A 20668-nucleotide genomic window follows, 5' to 3' on the forward strand; every position below is an offset into this window, starting at 1 on the left:
CACTATTTATTTTGCTTTTAGCAGACCTGTGGCAAAAAGCCCTGGCTAAAAAGACTGTGCAGTAGCAGAGGCATAGCTGGGGAAGATGTATAGGATGTTTACTTTCTATTTTCTCACCACTAAGAACTCTCTTTTTATTATTTCTCTCACATTGACTAAATTTTCAAAGCTCATAACTACCAAGGAAACTACCTCATATACTCCTAAGTCATTTTCATATTTATATTGCTTATGTTGATCTAGTGCATATAATTACAAATACAATTTTTAAAGAGAATATTAAATGCTATTGACCTAAAATAGTGATGGTAATAAAAATCAAATTTAATAAGTCTGAATGTAGGGATATGGATATTATTTTTTATACATTTTGGGTTTTTTTAAGTATATTCAGCTTTATTTTTTTAAATGGCTGATATTTTCAGATAGAAGGAACATGTGTAATATCATAAGGTTTTTTTTGAATATTGAAATTGTTCTTTGAGCACTACTTTTGGGATTCTATGTGGTAGAAATAATTCTGCCTTTATATGGATTCTTTTTTTTTTTTTTTTTTTTTTGAGACGGAATCTCACTCTGTTGCCCCAGGCTGGAGTGCAATGGCACGATCTTGGCTCACTGCAACCTCCGCCTCCCAGGTTCAAGTGATTCTCCTGCCTCAGCCTCCTGAGTAGCTGGGATTACAGGCGCATGCCACCACGCCTGGCTAATTTTTGTATTTTTAGTAGAGAGGGGGTTTCACCATGTTGGTCAGGCTGGTCTCGAACTCCTGACCTCATGATCCGCCTGCCTTGGCCTCCTAAAGTGCTGGGATTACAAGTATGAGCCACCATGCCTGGCCTTTATATGGATTCTAAGAGTTTACTCTTCCCCTGAGGAAACATAATCCTTTTTATCCAAAAACTTTCTAGCCGACTGAAGTTCAATAGATGTGGTATTGGACAAATCTCTTAACCTTTCTGGGTCACAGCTTTCTCCTGGGTAAATTGAAAGATTTGAACCAAGTGTCCTATCAGGTCTCTCTCAGTTAAGTTACAAGTGGGAAGGAGAAAAGAAACAGAGGTGTTGAAGGAAAGGACAGAGGCAAATGTGTCAGTACTCCTCACAGGGTGCTTGTGAAGCCTGTTTTAATCACAAGCTGGTGCTTACATTTTTGTTTTTTATGTGAACAGGTGTGTAAGAGAGAGAAAGAAAGGGAGCGAAAGAGAGAAAGAAAGGAGAGTAGAGGGAGAGGGAGATGGAGAGAAATATATTTCTCTGTTTCTTTACCAAGGGTTCAAGAAGGCCATGGCCTTGGGCCATGAGTCAGCCCTTAGACACCGCAGCAGATATTGTCCTAGGGTATGAGGATGTTTCCAATTGTCAAATGTGTTTTTGGCTTCTGGGGACTGGCTGAAATCTGCATCATACCTTGGCCAGGCTACACATAGGTTGCTGTCACTCTCCTGTCACAACTGCCATCTGCTATCCAGAGGACAGCTGCTTGGGAAATGAGGGCCCCATTAACATTCCAGTGCCTCTGGCTCTAGACCTGATAAAACCAGAGCATTGTACTGTGAATGTGGACAATTCCCTCTCCATTCCTGTTATTGCTGCTGAGCTGGTCGTAAGGAAACCGAGTGAGAAGGGAATGCAACAGAAGAAAAAGACCAAAGACCTGGGTTTCAGGGCTGGGAAAGAAAGCAAGACAGAATGGAGGAAATGAGGCCTGCAGGACATGGCGTCTCAAATGTTTGCGTCGCCTTTAAAGTAGCCTGTCACAGCTGCCTTCCACGACTCTTCAATGCCCTCATCCCTTCTCCAGATAGAAATGGAGCAGCTCTTCTTGGAGGCCAGGCTTCAGCTGATAGCAAGTCTGAGGTAGAGTACAGCACAGATCAAAGATTGCTTTTTACCTTTAAATGTAAAGTGTAAAGGGACAGGATTAGAGCATCCGCCTCTGTCTTTTTGAACACAAAGACCATTATCGGTAGGGGAAGGGAGACTTGGAGAGTTTATATGATTGACAAAAGTCACCCAAGTTGTTTGTGAGCCAGGACTGGAACAGAGCTTTTTGGGCGTCTAGCCAGTGTTCTTCCCCAGTGCATTACATAGAATGAATTTGTTGTACTACAACACTAATGTTCTGTAACGTTTCCCTGAAGACCGTGTTACAATAGTGATCTTCATTTATATATGTATTTTTCGTTTTATATATTTAGGTTGATTGTGTCTATATTTAGACCTCATAATTTAAATTGCTTACAATGACTCATTCATTTGCCCAATGTTTGTTGAATACTTGCTGTGTGCCAGGTTCTATCATAGGTTCTAGGAATACAAAGATGTGTAAAACATGATTCTTGCTCTTAAATATAATAACTCTCAGCCCGGTGGAGGAAATAAACACATTTAAAATCAAGAATAGTGCAAATACAAAGAAAGCTAGACCAAGTTTATGATGCAATCAAAGAGGCAGGCACCCAACTGAGGTTAGGAGGGTGAGAAATGGTAGCAGCCCAGGAGAAAGGTTTTCTGAGGATGTAACACCTACACTATGTCTTAAATGAGTAGCTATCAAGGCCAGGTGGGACAATATATAAGCATTTCATCCCTCAGATTCTAAGAGATGACAGTCATTATGTTATGGGACTCTGTACTCACATTTACAGTTGTCATTAACCTAGCAAGATCTTGCAATGCACTTTGGGGATCTTGCAAATAATATCTGTTGCTTGATTTGCAATGAGCTCTGAGATTCCACTTCCTATAGGGTCTAATAGTAGTCTTAGCAGAAACCAGAAGTCTGGAAAAAGGTGAAGGAAATAATTTCAGTGAAGAACTTATATCTCTACTAAAAACAAACCTGCCCAAGAATTCTTCCATATCTGCCTCCCCTTGTCCAGGTCTTCCTCATCCCTTCAGACTGAGTACAAATTCCACTTCTAGGAAGCCTTTCCTGATTTCTCCAATCAGAAGTGGTCTCTCTGTTTTCTGAAGGCACAGAGGTATTAGTGCCTCTTGTATGATATCTAGTGTGTCCTACCTTAATTGCAGTTTCAGAAATGTACCTCACTCTCATACCTCAAAGATGTGAGGGATGGAGGGAGGAGCTGGAGCTTCAGGGGATATCACCCCCAGGGGTATCAGGAAGACATGGTAGAAAGTTGAATCAGCCCAAAGCAGAGGAGTCAATATCCACAGACATTTCCTCTCTAGTCTCTCTTCTCACTCCATTCAACCTCCCACCAGACAACCTGTCCATCCCAACCTACATTCACTTACCCGAAGCTGATTTGCTAGATTATTCTTCCAGGTTGTTGTATAGTGTTTCCTGGGCTTGCAACACCCTCACCATCCTTGTTCACTCCACAAACACCTACCCAAGCATTGCCTGTTTTTTTTTACCCTTCTCAGACCCTTCCCTCTCTGCCCCACCCCCAGTTAAGCTCAATGACCCCTTTCAGCTTCACTGGAGCCTCGATATATTTCTGTTGTAGCACCTTCAACACCATCATACTTCTTGATGTATAGGCTACTGGATGGTGAGCAGCTTGAGGTCACAAACTATGTCTTATTTATTTAAATGTCTCCAGTACCTAATGAATGGGTAAATGAATGAATTTGTATTCTTCTTTTGTCTTCCTTAGAAACTTCCTTCCAGAAACTTTGCTTTATTCGTCGGTATGACCCCCGTCACAGCACCCTTTACTTGGTAGCCTCACAATAGATGTTTACTGTTGAATGAATGAATCTAGTTATTCACACACATACTTTGACATACCAACCCACAACATTGTAATACTGAGTTGATTCTTTTTAGAATGCCCTATAAAAATGAAGTGTATTTTAAATGTTTCTCAAAAGAATCCAACTTTGTTAACAGTTTTTAGCCCTCAAACCCCCCATGATGCATCACCTAAGTGCCATATGTCTCTCACAGGATGAAGCTACTTGCAGAACAATCTGGCAAAGGTCATCCTAGGAGCACACCTCAGGAACTCCTCACTTTCTGTTCCTCCTCTTTCTGTTCCCCACACTTCCCAGGGCAACAGGAATGGGTCAAGGCACACCATGTAGTGATGGGCCAGCAAGCGGATCAAAGGAAAGAGAAGACTTCAGTCAATAGTCTTCTCACTGTGGCTTTCCTCTTCCCCATATTCTGCACTTTCTGTGACCATATCTCATGACTGATGTCAATGTGAATGAGGAAGGTTAAGAGAGAATCCCAAACATAAGTTTAGCCTCAAGTTCCTATATGCTTCCTAAGCAAACTTTTATCAGAGATGCAAATGAGAACCTCCTGAACCCAGGTGTAAATGCTCCAAAGTCCTCTCTTTAATGCTTTTGCAGAAATGAAGTCAGAATAAAAACCAGTGGTTACAGTGAGCAGACACGGTGCCCCTCCCCTTCCTCCACTGATTGCTTCTTCACCTACTGAGACAGCCTCTCTTTCCCAGAGGATTGAGGGGACTCAGGACTCACACACAAGCTTGAGTTCTGCTTGTGGCTTCAATCATTCTGCTTAGGAGGTACAGAAGGGCCAAATGGTGCTGGACCATGGATGCATGAGAGCTGTTTCTGGCCCAGAGTTAAGGCATGAGAAAGGAAGGCGATGCTTAGGAAAGGCCCGTGAAAAAAAGATTTGCAGAAGAGAAGTCTTCTCTTCATTCTTTCTTAGGCCATCAGAGATCCTCAGTCTATATGGTGGAGCCTTTTTATGAAATGGAAAAAATGGCCCACCTATAGGAGAATGCAACCCCTCAGACACAGGTGCTCAGGCTGGAAAGTAGAGACCCCACTGAATTTCAGGCCCCAGCCATCTCTGCCAGCTGTCTTTACATGTATACCACTGCATGCAGCAGCCTCAAGACCACCACCTAGCCTATGTCTCACTCCCTCCTGCCTAAACTCTCGGTACCTACCAGCTGCAGCACACTCCAGATTCAACACCCACCCTGGATGGGGCTGAGACCAGAGTGCCCATCTCTGTTTTACGGAAGGAAAAACTGTTACCTCTCTCACCCCTCCACTGCTTTCCTACATCTTTGCTGCCCTACATGCCCCACCATTTCCTCACCTCTCTCTGTCTCTCTTTCCCCTCAGGCCAGGAGGAACCAGTGTGACTCCATGCTGCTCAGAAACCAACAGCTGTGCTCCACATGTCAAGAAATGAAAATGGTAGGCAAGGGGGAAGACAGAAATGGGCACAGGCATCTCAGGGTGCAGCACTGCCCTTCCCAGCCAAGCCCTGTGGGGAGAGATAGTGACGGGGCCCGTTGCAAGGAGGGCCTAGATAAAGGCTGCCAAGGAGGAACTGTTGGTCCTGGGAGCAGCATCGACTGACAGAACATGATAAACCTTCTCCGTTTCAACAAGCTAAAGGGTAACCAGGATAGATGGGCCAGAGTAGAGATGCAATGAGACACTTCGCCTTGGGCTCCTAAGTAACTACAGCCTCTCAGAGGCTTAGGGGATTATGGAGCTCCTTCTCCCTCCTTAATGTAGCCCCCACACAACACATAGGCTCACACTCATTTCTCCACCGTTACAATCAGGAGACAAACAGCTTCATCTTTGGGTTTACTGTTAATTTAGGTAGCACCTCAAGAGAAAGACTGGGGAGAGAGTCTACAGTACTTTCTAGGTAGTCAGGGGCGGTGTCACCTGCTTTGGGTATTTGTAACATATAGTGGAGAATGGTGGTAGGGGAGGAATATTAGGAAAAGAAAGAAGGAAAGCAAGGGAGATGTGGAGGGAACAAAGACAAACTTCTGCCATGCCATCTATCACAGTTGCTGAATCAGAGGCCTGATTCAGGAAGGATGCTAGACTAGGCTGGAGTTAGGCCTTCGGTAATTTAAGAATTAGAGTTAGCGCTGGGATGGTTGTTAGCGTCAGGGTAAGGAAGAGGCTTTGGTTAAGGGTTAATTTAGCAACATGGTTAGGTTTGAGGTACGAGCTGGAGAAGGGTTTCTTCAACTCTGATATCCTATAATTCTCCTTTGACTTGGGGAGGAAGGTGGGGCTAAATGTGTAGGCTAAACGTGCTTTAAAAGAATGGAAGAAAAATAGAAGATATAAGAAAAGCTCCTTCACTGAGTTCATGGCAAGTCTTAGGTCCAGTCGGATGTGAAAGAGAGTGGCACTTTTGTGAAATTTTTATGTGGGATTTACAAATTTAACTGAAGCTACCGGCAAAGCTGCACCTTGATGTTGCCATCTATGTTCATTTTCTACATAATTAGGGTCACTGTGTTAAATATTAGCATTGGCTGGAGTCTGGGAAACTAGGATTGGGATTTCTCCTGGTCTTATTCCTGGAATCCCTTGTGTCCACATTTAGAATGCACCAACCCCAGGCCTAAGCTGGCCTTGGCCAGCTGGCACACTTGGGACATCAGCAGCCATCCTCTTTCTCAAGACCTCTTCTCTGACCTTTGCCCTTGTCCAGGAATGATAGAAGTGGAGCCACATGCTGCAATTTTACCATTTATTGAAGCTTCTAAAAGGAAGGGCTTCAAACACAAAAGTGCCCAGGGACCCTTCTGTACTGCTGTCAGAACCTGGTGATAAACTACAGAAAGTTAGAAAATAAACATGAAATATCCTTGCCTCACTCTATGCAGTAATACCTCAAAGTCCTCCCAAGGGGAGGGACTGCAGGTCTGCTGTAGTCACTGTGATACCCCTTCTTTCTCAGCAGTGAGTTGAATAGAAATACTGGGGAATATATAAAAAGACTCCTAGGAATAGAAGGGAACTTCCTCAACCTAATAAAGAGCAGCTTGAAAAACTAACAGCTAACACCCTACTTAATGGTAAAAGACTGGATACTTTCCCCTAAGATTAGAAACAGGGCAACAATGTCTGCTCCTGACACTTCTACTCAACATTTTACTATACATTCTAGCCAGAAAGATAAGAAAAAGAAATAAAATCCATCCACATTAGAAAGAAAGAAGTACAACTAGTCTATTTGCAGATGATATGCTCTTATATAGCGAAAGTCCTAAGGAATGCACAGAAAACTATTAGAGCTAATAAATGAGTACAGCAGTGTTGAGGATACAAGATCAGTATATAAACCTTAATTTCTATTAATAGCAGTGAACAACCCAAAAATGAAGAAAACAATGCCATTTGTAATAGCATCAAAAATTATTTAGGAATAAATTTAACACGAGAAGCACAAGAGCTATACAATGAAAAGTATAAAACATTGTGGAAAGAAAATTTAAAAGGCCTAAATAAATGGAAAGAACCCCATGTTTATAGATTGGAACACTTAATATTGTAAAGATGAATATACTCCGCCAAACTGATCTACATATTTAATGTAATCCTCAAAATCCCAGATGCCATTTTTATAGAAATTTGCAATCATATCTTAAAATTTATATTAAAATGCAAGAGATCCAGGATAGCCAAACAATCTTTAAAAAGAAGAACGAAGTTGGAGGTCTCATACTTCTTGATTTTAAAACTAACTACAAAGCTATGGTCAGGACTGTGTGGTACTGCCATAAAGATAGACAAATAGATAAATGGAATAAAATTGAAAGTTCAGAAGTAAATTCTTATGTTTATAAACAATTGATTTTTGACAAAGGCACCAAGACAGTTCAATGAGGAAAGAATAGTATTTTCAATAAGTGGTACGGGGGCAGCTGCATAGATACATGCAAAAGAATGAATTTGTACCTCTTCCTCACACCATGTACAAAAATAACTCAAAATAGGTCAAAGAGCTAAATGTAAGACCTAAAACCATAAAACTCTTAGAAGAAAACATAGGTATAAAGCTTCATGACCTTGGATAAGGCAATGGTTTCTAAGATAGGACACCCAAAGCACAAACAACAAAAGGATATAGATAAATCAGTCTTCATAAAAATTTTAAACTTTTGTTCCACAAAGAACACCATCAAGAACACGAAAAGACAACCCAAATATTTGCAAATCAACAGATGAAGGATTATGTCAGATAAGGGACTAGTATCTGGAATATATAAGGAACACTTAAAACTCAACAATAAAAAGGCAAACACTCTAGTTGAAAAGTGAGCAAAAAGTTTCAATAGACATTCTCTAAAGAAGATCTACAAATGACCAATAAACACATGAAAAGATACTCAACATTATTTGTTGTAAAGCAAATGCAAATCAAAACCACAATGAGACACACTTTCCATCCACTAGGATGGTTGTAATAATAATAATAATAAAACGGTGGATAATAACAAGTGTTGGCCAGGATGTGGAGAAATTAGAAGCCTCAAAAATTGCTGATGGGAATGTAAAACAGTACAGTTGCTTTGGAAAACAGTTTGGGAATTCCTCAAAACCTTAGACACAGAGTTACCATATGACCCAGCAATTCCATTCCTAGATATGTACCCAAGAGAACTAAAAACATATTCACACACAAAATTCTACAAGAATGCACATAGCAGCCATATCTTAATAGCTGAAAAGTGGAAATAACCCAAATGCCTAGGGCTTGATTAATGGATAAACAAAACGTTGTCTATCTATATAATAGAATATTAATCATAAAAAAGAATGAAATACTAAAACATGCTATAACATGGATGAACCTTGAAAACATTTTGCTAAGTAAAAGAAACCAGATGCAAAAGATCACATATTATACTGGTTCCATTTATATGAAATGTCCAAAATAGGAAAATTCAGAGACAGAAAATAGACAGTGGTTGTCAAAGATTGGGGAGAGGAGTGAGTGAGAAGCAATTGCTAATAGGTATGTGGTTTCTTTTTGGGGTCATGAACTGTTCTAGGAATAAACAATGGTGGTTGTTTTACAACTTTCTGAATATACTAAAAACTACTAAATTGCACATTAAGATGGTGACTTATGATACATGATATCATAAACACCGATAAAAAGAAATTAGCACTAAATAAAAGCACAAAATAGATGAATCTCAAAAAAATGTAAATAGGACCTGGTTATGTAACTACTCATATTCCTATGTAACCTTGGGCTAGAAGCTCAATCATTCAGTGCAGAAGAAATACCTGCTGACAGTTATGGTTGTGAATCACCAGTGATATTTGCCTTGGTTTTATCTAGGCTGTGTTTCATCATGTCTCTGCTCCAAACAGCTCATCTTCCCCTTAATGCACCTATTCTGTAGTCCTTCTGTTATCTGCATTACTCTCTAATTAACACCTTCAAGCCCCTTAAAAGTAGGACCATCAAGCTAGACAACTGTAAACAGATATTCTCTAACATATATTAAAAAATAGTTTCAAAATAAATTAAGTTTATTTCAACAAATATTGATTGATTGTCTGCCATGGGCCAGGTACTTAGGTAAACTACAAAGAAAAAAAAAGAAATACATAAGACCTGTCTTTAAGGAGTCAACAAATAAATAAATAATGACAACAGAATGTAATCAATATAAACAGAAATAGATCTGATGGGGAGTGAAGGGGCAGTGAAAGTAAATATCAAGGAAGTCTTCCTTGAAGAAAAAGACTATTCAGGGTTTTCAAGAATGAATAGGAGTCTCCCACAGTACACTTTTTCTCAAAAACAAAAATCCTGTCTTTGGCAGGCAGCTTTGTTCTGATGCAGCCCCTGTAGCACAGTTCATTCATACAATAGCGCTAGCTGGATTTAGGGGATTTAGAACAGCAATCATGCTATTCAGGAGGAGTTACAGTTTCCTGCATCTTCCCTTGGAGCAGAGTCAACTTTAGATAAATTTTTGAATAAAGCAGTCTGTCTCTGGCACATTCTCAGCCACTTTTATGTTTAGAAATCTCTCCTCAGGTTCTTACTAAAGCCTTGGCTGCCCCCACTATGCCCAGAGGCTCTTTGTTACCAGATCAGCTCCTTCCTCTCCCTCTCCCATCCTTTCTTCAGCTAATGAGTTAGGAGAACAAGCTGAGTAAACATAGTACATTCTTGGCATTTGTATAGCCTTTGCATTCAGTTTTTTTGCTATTTTCAAGCACCTCTAAAGGTCCTTAATACATTGTAATTTGTAACTTTGTTATGTCATAAACTTAAATCATGAGTCACTTGGTACAAGTCACTTAGTGAGTAGAGTAGTTGAACACCTGCACCCACATCTTTGTAATTGTCATTTTATTATTATAGCTACAATAATTTTCGAGAAATAACGGAAAAATGCTTCCTAGTGAAAACATTCTTAAAAGAAAACCAACATCTAGTGCTAGGAACAAATTTGGAAAAGTTCAAGAAAGTGATGTTTCTTAACCGAAAATACTGTAACTGTACATTGATTTTAGGCCTATATGAAAGACACCTTTAAAATTTCCAGTGTGCTTCAAGGTGGGTTCATTCATTCACTAATTTGATCAAAAATATTTCTTAAACAGACATCGTGTTAGCAGCTGGAAATACAAAAATAGAGACAAGGTCTATGCCCTCATGAAGCTGAAAGTCTATTAGGGAACCCAGACATTACACAAGTAAATACAATATAAAGGTTATGAGTATTTTGATCCAGGAGGCCCTAAGAACATAGAGCGGAGGACTACCGAACAGTAGTCCCGGAGTCAGCAGTCTCTGTGATAAAATGACAGTTAACCTGAGACTTGAAGAACATGTGTGTATTGGGGGTGGGGGCATCTAAACCAACCAATTTTAAAGATTTACTAAATCTGTGTATCTAATTTCAACTGATATCCAGGGAAAAACAATGACTCTGACTTGAGGGAAGGGTGAAACCCTCTGGTCATTCACATCACAAAAGGATGTATGAAGGACTTTGACATCAAATACAACACAAATTCACTAAAGTGGTACATTATTTATTTAAATCAAAATGCAGTTACAGGCAACGTTCTAAATGAGACTTTCTTCTTGAGGTACAACCAAGAACAATGAAAATCCCAGATGATCCAAAAGCATCCTTTGAGAATTGTATGAGTTATAGGTAAGTCAACAATTTAAATCAGGACATGACTTAATTCTTGTTATGTCTGAGGACACAGGAGAGTGGATTGAGAAGCCTAGTAAGAGGAATGTTTAAGGAATGCTTAGGGAACAGGCTTCTTGACTGGTTTTATTTTTAGGTTAAACCAAATTATTAGATCAAAAAAGAAAGTTCACCTTTTTGCTTGAACAACTACTGAAACTATTGTAGAAAGTATAATCTTCCTTTCCACCTTCACAAGAACAATATAAGAAACAGAATAGGAAATTTCTTTGATAATTCAGATGGAACTAAATACAAATTCTCCATGTAGATGACATATCTAATCTGCAAGATATGGGGGATTACACATAATCTTTCCTTAGTCCAAGATGTTCTCTGCTACGTTTTAGTAACTAAAATTCCTCTTTATCAGTTTGTTTGGTTGTTATTTAAAGCTTTTTTTAAATCAAGATCGAGTATAACAGATATAAAATCCAATTGGAATTATGATTAGTTTTTTTGTGTGTTTTGTTTTGTTTGGTTTGGTTTGGTTTTTTCTTTTTGAGATGGAGTCTCTCTCTGTTGCCCAGGCTGCAGTGCAGTGGCGCAATCTTGGCTCACTGCAACCTCCACCTCCCAGGTTCAAGCAATTCTCTTGCCTCAACTTCCCAAATAGCTGCGATTACAGATGTCCACCACCATGCCTGGCTAATTTTTTTTTTTCTTCTTAGTGGAAATGTGATTTCACCATGTTGGCCAGGCTGGTCTCAAACTCCCCACCTCTGGTGATCTGCCCGCCTCGGCCTCCCAAATTGCTGTGATTACAGGTGTGAGCCACCATGCCCCACCTAGTTTTTCAAAGAGTTTTTTTCTTCTATATTTAACTACTAGGCAGGGAAGAAGGACTCTGTTTTTACTTTATTACAACATGCAAAACATGGACTCATTCTAAACAGGACATCAACACAGGTCAACTTGCATTGCAATAGATGGTTGGAAAGTAGACATACACTCACCTTTACATATGACTAACCAAAAAAGCTATATGTAATCTAATGCCCATTTTAATTTTTTCCTCATACAGTCAGCAATAATGTGGAAAAATAAATAGGTTTTTCTGTAACCTTATGTTGCACAATGGTACATGTCCTGATTCCTTTTATGACCTTAGGGCCATTTGTTCCAGACTCAAATATAGACCCAGATACACTGAAAACATGCACCCAGTTCCTGGCCAAGGTAGACAAAGTTATGGAGGAAGTGGCTATTTGAGCAGTACAAGCTCCATCACTAATAACATTTACCTGTACTGACTCTACATTTTTAAAGAGCTCTTATATGATAAAAGTAATTCTAGTAAATATTCATTATGAACTTTAAATGGAAAACTGAAGCATCTAAAATCAGAGATTTCTGAGCAAAATTTCACCCTTCTGTGAAATAACCTTTCGAAATTTGTTGCCCCATTTTACTTATCTTGCAAGTTTTGTACTTTATTTAAATACAAAATTCCAGAACATTAATTAGTTGTATTTTAAACAAATAGCTCTTATCCCTTTAAAAGTAAGACCAAGGATTAAACCAGTTCTAAAATCATGTCAACATCAACCAGACGTATCATGAGATTGATTGTTGTATTCTGTTTTTCAGTGTTATGGAGGAAAACATACCACTTCTGTGTGAGACTTAGCTAGAGTGACTATAAAGCAAGGGCCTGGTTCTACCTCTAACTTTTCCAAATTTGTTTCTAGCACTAGATATTGGTTTCTGTTTTCATACTTTTTAAGTATCACTGCATATATAGGCAAATGGAATTATCTTCACTGAAATTGTGGTTTTTTAAAAAGTGACTTTAATTATAGCCATTGCAGGAATTAAAATATAATACTTATTGAATGAAAAGAATGAAGGAAAAAAGGAAGAGAGGGAGAAAAGATGCAGGATAGATACATATTTGTTGAATTGTAGAATAGACAGAGCTTAAACTATTCAGTCCTGAACATACCATCTGCCTGTTTGCACAAAATGGATAATAGAAGGGGTTTTGCTTTCTCTTTTTCTCAATCTCAGTGACAATTGATTAAAGCAAACTGGCTTAACTCACTATATTTTTGGTAGCAAAGCAAAAATAATCTCGGAAGATCTTTGTGGAAGCAGAAACCATGAAATGAATGTAGAGCCTTAGATGGCCCATCAAAGTTTACAAATATGTCAGTCTTTAGAAATTAAGCAATTTAAACTAATGTAGAAGAGGTTTTGGCTTATATGCATTTTCCTCAAGGGTCACCTCCACAGCCTTGGCCACCAGGAGAAATAGGATGTGGTCAGGGCATTTTCTGTGAAATGGGAAGGTTCTAACCAAAATGTTTTCTCAGCTTTACTCTTTAAAGGTAGATTATTGATCTGGAAGAGTTCTGTTTTTTTTTTTTTTCTGGAAATTGAAGAACTCTTTCCTTTATTCCTCCTATTTTCAGACCACATATGTTCTGACAGTGGAATAAAACATTCAAAATGAAGGTTTTATCAAAAATCCATGAAAACAACACTAATCAAAAAGAGATTGAGAATTAGTAGTCCTTGGATCAATCATCTTACATTGCTAGAAAGTGGCCTTATCATCAGGTTAACCGGTAGTAGATTCAAGAGATTACGTGTGTTTAAAAATGTATAAAGAGGCCAGTGCGGTGGCTCACACTTGTAATCCCAGCACTTTGGGAGGCTGAGGCGGGCAGATCACCTGCAGTCAGGAGTTTTAGACCAGCCTGGCCAACATGGTGAAACCCCATCTCTACTGAAAATACTAAAATTAGCCAGGTGTGGTGGTGTGTGCCTGTAATCCCAACTACTCAGGAGGCTGAGGCAGGAGAACCACTTGAACCCGGGAGGCAGAGGTTGCACTGAGCCGAGATCGCACCACTGCACTCCAGCCTGGGCAACAAGCGCAAAAACTCCATCTCAATAATAATAATAAATAATAATAAATAAATAAAAATAAAAATGTATAAAGGCACATTTCTTTCTACCAAGCCCTAGCCAATTGACTAATGTGTTTTCTTGTTTCTTCCAATCAGAATGAGTCTTCATCAACCCAAATTCCAGACTACACCTGAGCCTTTCCATGATGACATCCCAACAGGTTTGCTTTCTTTTAGAGTACTTATAGTGTGAAACACACTAGAAAAAAATGCCATAGAATGACAGTCTAATCCCTAAAATAATTTCTAAATTTCCTGAGCAAATCCTCACTTTCTATCCCTTTCTCTTTCACGTATTGTCTTTTGACCTGCTGGAATTGGTTCACAGCCCTTCTTTCACTCCAGCACCACCTGTGCCCTCCTCAGGCCTCACTTGCCCTTATACATGTCATGTTCCTTCCCAGGATCTGTCCACAACATATGGCTGAAGACTTTCCATGGAGATGGGGTACAAACAAAATAAAAGTTCCCCTATTGGCAGTCCTGATGGTATCAATCAAAATGGGAAGGGAACTGCATCTCTATACCCTCAGAGCGGCCTCACCAAGGCCCTGAACCTTTCACTCCACCAGCTCCCTAAAATACCTGCCTTCTCCCAGCAGCTGCCTGTGCTATTCTTATCTTCACTTGCTGTTGATAGAAACAAGGAAAGCAGCTCTATTTCAGGCTTCAGCATTGACCTAAGTCTCAGCTTTAGTTAAGGCAACACTGGGCTGGTGAAGATGGAGTGAGCCATTATTTGGGGTAATATAATTCAAGGGCTTACTGCAGCACAGGCTGTCACTTTAGTGACTTTGTCCATTTTCTCATTTGCTCCCATATTGACTGAAGCCACTTGAATTTTTCTCTCATTTGATACATACAGTAAAGAAAATCAGGATAACTTTCCTCACTCTATACATATGGAAAAATCTTTTATCTTAAGAGGTTGCAGGGGAACTAGAGCCAGAACTGAAAAGATTTCTAGAAAGGAAATTTGAGGATTGAAGGGATGTCTTGAGGGGATGCCAAAAGGGAGGACCAGAACTCAGGTTACAGCTGAGGTTTGGGGATATCCACTCGAGTGGAGTGAAAGTCTTCCAGTCCTAATGAATCGCTTCTTATGTATACCAAAATATTGGCCTAGTTCATGGCTCTCATTTAGCCAAAGTGGAACCAAGAGCCTGGAGCTAAGAGTACCTACCCAACGAAAGCTACCCAATCTGCTGTTCCCTGGTCTATGATCACCTCATTCTTTTGAAGCCAAGAGAACATGGGTGATAGGCATGTGCAGTTGATTTCATAGTTATCTGTGCCAGCCACACACTCATTCTGCGTTTCCTTTGGACCTGGACTTTTTTCAGACCTGCATTGCAAAGGAATGAATCACATACACACACACACACACACACACACACACACACACACACACACAATCACACACAATCATTGTGTGCCTTTCCCTCAGCAAGAATATATTTTTTGGTCCTAGAGAACAATGTAACAAGATGCCTTTCATCAATGTATTATCTCTGGGAGTATACTTCAATTAGCAATTTAAGAGCTAGATTTTGTGTGCACAGGAACAGCATGTTATGTTCTTGGATGGCCCTGATTCTTGTCCATAGAGTTCATCCTAGAACAGTAATCTTAGAGGTGGGACTACAGGGGGAATAGTTGTAAAACTGGCTAGGAGCTGAAGCTTGGTAGATCTACTGTTTATTATAGCCATGGCCCTTCTGAGCTGACTCTGCTCTTGTATGTGCTCTTAGAGGTCATGAAAACGGCACTAGGCTAGAAGCGATGAGACCTCGGTAGGAATCCTAGTCTTGCTATATAGGCTTGGCCTCTGTGTTCCCACCTGTAAAACCAGAGTAGCATGTTGTCCCACTGAAAGCTAGACCTTCAGCACAAGTGGTCTTCACCTTTGACTGACCCAGGAAAACTGCTGACACTGCCCCATCCCCACTGGATTATAGAGCTTAGACATGTCCATACTGTGGTACTTGCTGCTTATTGCTGAAGCCACCTTCCACCTGTGCTGTGTTCCCTGTGGATTGCTACAAATGCCAAGTGACTGACTCATCCCAGTGAACAACATTACTGCCAATGACTGTCTAACTCAACTGTTGGTCACAATGATTGCTAGCATTTTTTTCTGGATTCTGCTTATCCTTACATATTATCAATAATTCTTAATGACAACTAAGGAAATAGAAAGAACTTATCTTTACAAGTGATGCAGATTCCTTCATGAATCTTTGACTTGATCCCAGAATCCCATGACACCCACGGACTCTTAATCTCAATAAACATTAGTACAGATGCTAACCACCTCATAGGGGCCTACCACCTGGCATGGTGGTATGATATGGCACAAAGAGCACTGGGTTAGGATTAAGAATGTCTGGGTTCTGGTTCTTAGTCCATTAGTGTCTGTGACCTTGGACTGCTGTTCCCTCTTAATTACAGTGATGAGACTGAACTGGATCCAAGGTTTGTGATCCTGTAACGTCTCTAGCTCTCATTCAGTTGGACTTTGTTCTCTGGAGCTTGTTCCAGAGAATTCAGAGTTCCAATTCTCTTAGTCACTCAGCGATTCCCAATGGGAAGATGTTATTTCATGCACTGGTTTACCCCCATTCAAGTTATATGTCTTCTGGAAAAATTGAATATTAACCAACTTTTAATAAATCATTTTGAAGAAGAGATAGGGTAAGGATTTTAAATAACCCTAAAATAAATTATTTCACAAAATACAGATTTCTTTTGAAACAAAAGTACTTTCTGTCCCTACTGTAGCCTTTTTATAAGATCATGTTTATTCCTTATTTTTATTTTTTTAAAGAACAGAACTATATATGTGTCCCTGAAAAGTCTCCTGAGAATTGAATCCTCTTTTCTCTTTCACTCATATTACAACACCAGACATGTTTTATCTTCATTTTTAATTTAATTGGTAATGACGTCTAATACTTGAGTTTTGTTTCTGGGTACTCCTTTTGGCCTCATTGACAAGATTTGTAAAAGTTTAAATGTTGTGAGGGGAAAAGGCAATTTCATTAAAAGAAATTCTTAGGTGAGTTTTTTGTTCCATTTTCTTAAGAAAAAATAAAAGGTGGATTTGAAAATCAAATTATTAGGTGAATTTTAAATCTGTTTTATAAGGTTGAAGAAGTCTTTGTTGGCCTGTGGTTATTTTGAGCTTCTTTAAGAATAGAATCTAAGTAGTCCTTATCCTTCTTTCCTTCTTGTACTGTCATCCAGAAAGCATTCACTACAGACTGCCCATTCTGGGCCCCAGGACAGCTGTCTTCCACGGATTACTGACAGAGGCCTACAAAACTCTAAAAGAGAGACAACGTTCTTCCTTGCCCAGAAAGGAACCAATAGGCAAGACAACGAGGCAGTGAGCGGTAGGAGCTCATCACCTCCCAGACTCCCAGAGAGAAAATAACCTCGCCAAGCCAATCTTTGACACTGGCACCTTCTCCTCACAATTTTCTCTCTTCTCCCAAAAGATGATTTAATTTTGCCTTCCTAAGATTGCTGGTATTCTAGCTCTTACCTCTATGTTCTTTCTCACGTCTCCTAAAGACAAAATTGTTTAATTTACATGATTATAAAGATCTGTTTATGAAAATGGAACATGGTAACTGTCTCTCATTTTATTTTCTTAAAGGTTCTTCTCTACGTTAAGGTGGAAAATGTCCTTCTGTTTCTAAGTCACAAGTTTTCTGTGAAAGTTATTTCAGCTCTTTCTTCAGGACAGGGGCCAGAGATGGCTCCATGAAATCCCTCATGAATTCAGCTTATTAAGAATAAAGGAATAGGCTAGATGTGGTAGCTTACACCTGTAATCCCAGCACTTTGGGAGGCCAAGGTGGGTGGACAAAGTGGTTTAATTTACATGATTATAAAGATCTGTTGATGAAAATGGAATATGGTAACTGTCTCTCATTTTATTTTGTTAAAGATTCCTCTCTATGTTAAAGTGGAAAACATCCTTCTGTTTTTAAGTCACAAGTTTTCTATGAAAGTTATTTCAGCTCTTTCTTCAGGACAGGGGCCAGAGATGGCCCCATGAAATCCCTCATGAATTCAGCTTATTAAGAATAAAAGAATAGGCTAGGTGCGGTAGCTCATACCTGTAATCCCAGCACTTTGGGAGGCCAAGGCGGGTGGATCACCTGAAGTCAAGTGTTCAAGACCAGCCTGGTCAACATGGCGAAAACCTGTCTCTACTAAAAATACAAAAAGTAGCCGGCCGTGGCTGGTAGCAGGTGCCTGTAATCCCAGCTACTCAGGAGGCTGAGTCAGGAGAATCACTTGAACCCAGAAGACAGGGGTTGCAGTGAGCCAAGATCACACCACTGCACTCCAGCCTGGGCAACAGAGTGAGACTCTATCTCAAATAAAATAAAATAAAATAAAATAAAAATATAAAAAAGAACAAAGATGTGGGGCTGGGCACAGTGGCTCAAGCCTGTAGTCCCAGTGCTTTGGGAGGCTGAGGCAGGAGGATCACTTGAGGTCAAGAGTTCAAGACCAGCCTGGGCAATAAAGGGAGACCCCTATGTCTACAAAAGTAAATAATAATAAAAAAAAGAATAAAGGAGAAAAAGAGAAGTTGCCATCTAGCCTTATCTGTGTTTGTTAACTCTGGTAGATGGCAGAGGATACTGTGATGCAATGACTGGAAAATGGCAAGGCATTCGTCGTTGCAACCCTGAAGCACAGGAACTGTGCCTTGCCTTGCCCTTCTCACGTCACTTCCTTTAGTGCCTCTCATATGTGAGAAGTTCAGCTAATCCTGGCTTAATAAAAACCATACCTAGTGCATGTATTATGTAGTTTGATTACTTTGGTTGGAAGATGTATGCATCCAGATTTGTCCCAATCTGTGTGTCCATCTGCAGTGTGAGGGAGACAAAAGAAAACTCTAGGCTGGCAAATATGATATTTATAGGCACATATGTTTCATGTCCAGCTTATTGGGGGGGTATATATATAAAAAGAACACCTCTGTTATTTAAGAAGCAATGGTCTTGTCTTATCGCAAGATCCTGACTAACTGGAAACTGGATCAACATGTGAGAACCAACCTCTGCCTGACTGTATCTGAAGAATGCTAAAAGTATCATCAGACTTTGAACACCTACTGTTGACTTTTCTCTAATACCTCTGTCGAGTGACTAGATTAACCAGATAAGTGAGTAAAAACATCCTGACATCCCTTTCCCTAGAGGGCTGGAGACACAAGGGTACATCATGGAGACTGGGAATTCACATAGTCTGGGGACCCCTGGGAGTCTCTGAAGCCCTTGCAGAGTGTCTGTGACTTTACTTGAAGAATGGACTTCAAAAATCTCAAACAAATGGCCTTGTCCTTAAATTGGCCTCACTTCCTGCACAAGAAAAAAAAAAAAAGACAAACAAAAACAGAAAAACTTGCTTGATTGTCCTGAATTCCTGGTAGGCTATGATTCTTGGTTTCAGTTCAGTTGGAGTTTAAGAACTCCAAAAACAGTGCCCTTGAATTCTGATCCCATTTCAGATAGTTGTCAAAGGAGAGACACATCACAGGTAACAATGTTTCCTTCTTTTGTTGTTGTTGCAGATTAATACATCCAGTGAAAAGATTGGGTGTAACTGTACCCATGCATTATAGAGGATACATGCCCCATTTGCAATTATCTGGAGCTTTTGAGGTAATCAGAATATTATGTGACTAGTGAGATAGAATGCTTCCTAAATATAGTCAAGATGGCTTCATCCATAGTACTGGGACATTTCCAAAATCTTGTAAAATAAAAAATAATAATATCATGTTGTTCAGTAGTATGATGACAGAAAAGGTTGATCTATATCAATGGTTCTTAAACTTTTGGTCTTAGGAAATTTTACACTCTGAAACATTGAAAACACTAAAGAACTATTTATTATATTAGAAATTAAAATGGAGAAACCTTTTAAACACTTCCAATCAGCTGTCAGAGTGATGACATTATCACACGTCATGTAGCCTCTGGAAAACTCCACTACACTTAGGAAGTTTTCCAGAGGCTACTTGAGGCTTCTTGAGAAGAAGGATAAGAAAGGAAAATAACATCTTAGTATTATTATGCGAACAATTGTAACTCACAGACACTCTGGAAGGGCTTCAGAGACTCCCAGGAGTCCCCAGATTATGTGAATTTCCAGTCTACATGATGTATCCTTGTGTCTCTAGCCTTCTAGGGAAAGGGATGTCAGGACGTTTTTACTCACTAATCTGGTTAATCTAGTCACTCGACAGAGATATCAGAGAAAAGTCAACAGCAGGTTTTCAAAGTCTGATGATACTTTTTAGCATCATTTACCTCCCTTTGCTCAGATTGTCTACTTAAAAACTTTATAAACTTCATTTGGTTTCTCAAATATAGTGGGTTGACCAGTTAGCACAAGAAGTCTAGTTCCCTTTGAAATCTCATTTCTCTATATGAATGATTGTTAATTTGCTTGGGCTAGTGTGAACTCATTTTCCAGAATCTGAGGTCTAAACCTGGACCCAGTGTGGCCTCAGCACACTAGAAATACTCCATCTGCAGCTTCATTGAATAGTTAGCCAGCTGGTGAACTTCCTTTTCAGTTTACTCCTACAACAAAATCCTGAGAGTAATGGGACTGAGGGAAGAATTTCCTAAATTGGGAAGTCCAACTCTGACATACCCCTCCACAGGACTAACCCAATGCTATCATTTCAATTTAAACTTGCAAAGAGATTTGCATATATGCTGCGTGATTTTTCTCTGCAAGTAGTATTATTTAAAATAA

At 39.6% G+C, this 20668-nt stretch overlaps 1 protein-coding gene across 10 annotated transcripts in view, besides 1 other annotated feature; it reads left to right on the top strand.

Moving 5' to 3' along the window:
• C1orf105 (chromosome 1 open reading frame 105) overlaps positions 1–17500 on the top strand; it is a 48145-nt gene extending 30645 nt beyond the window's left edge. For 9 of the 10 annotated variants that reach the window (XM_011510152.3, XM_011510153.3, NM_139240.4 and 6 more), the window contains 4 exons: positions 5086–5160; positions 10849–10916; positions 13970–14034; positions 17120–17500. In XM_011510152.3, coding sequence (XP_011508454.1) covers positions 5086–5160; positions 10849–10916; positions 13970–14034; positions 17120–17265 — 354 coding nt within the window. In that variant the 3' untranslated portion in view covers positions 17266–17500. Of the gene's footprint in view, positions 1–1563; positions 1861–5085; positions 5161–10848; positions 10917–13969; positions 14035–17119 lie in introns of those variants that run through there. The other variant, NM_001300760.1, reaches the window with a different exon arrangement.
• Positions 16200–16494: a silencer, noted in NCBI's record as "tiled region #10840; K562 Repressive non-DNase unmatched - State 23:Low". NCBI's record gives its function as "represses a minimal TATA promoter and a strong SV40 promoter by Sharpr-MPRA in K562 cells {active_cell/tissue: K562}" and the evidence as "EXISTENCE:reporter gene assay evidence [ECO:0000049][PMID:27701403]".
• Positions 17501–20668: the final 3168 nt, after the last annotated feature.

This window comes from Homo sapiens, chromosome 1 (assembly GCF_000001405.40).
Source record: "Homo sapiens chromosome 1, GRCh38.p14 Primary Assembly".
NCBI lineage: Eukaryota > Metazoa > Chordata > Mammalia > Primates > Hominidae > Homo > Homo sapiens.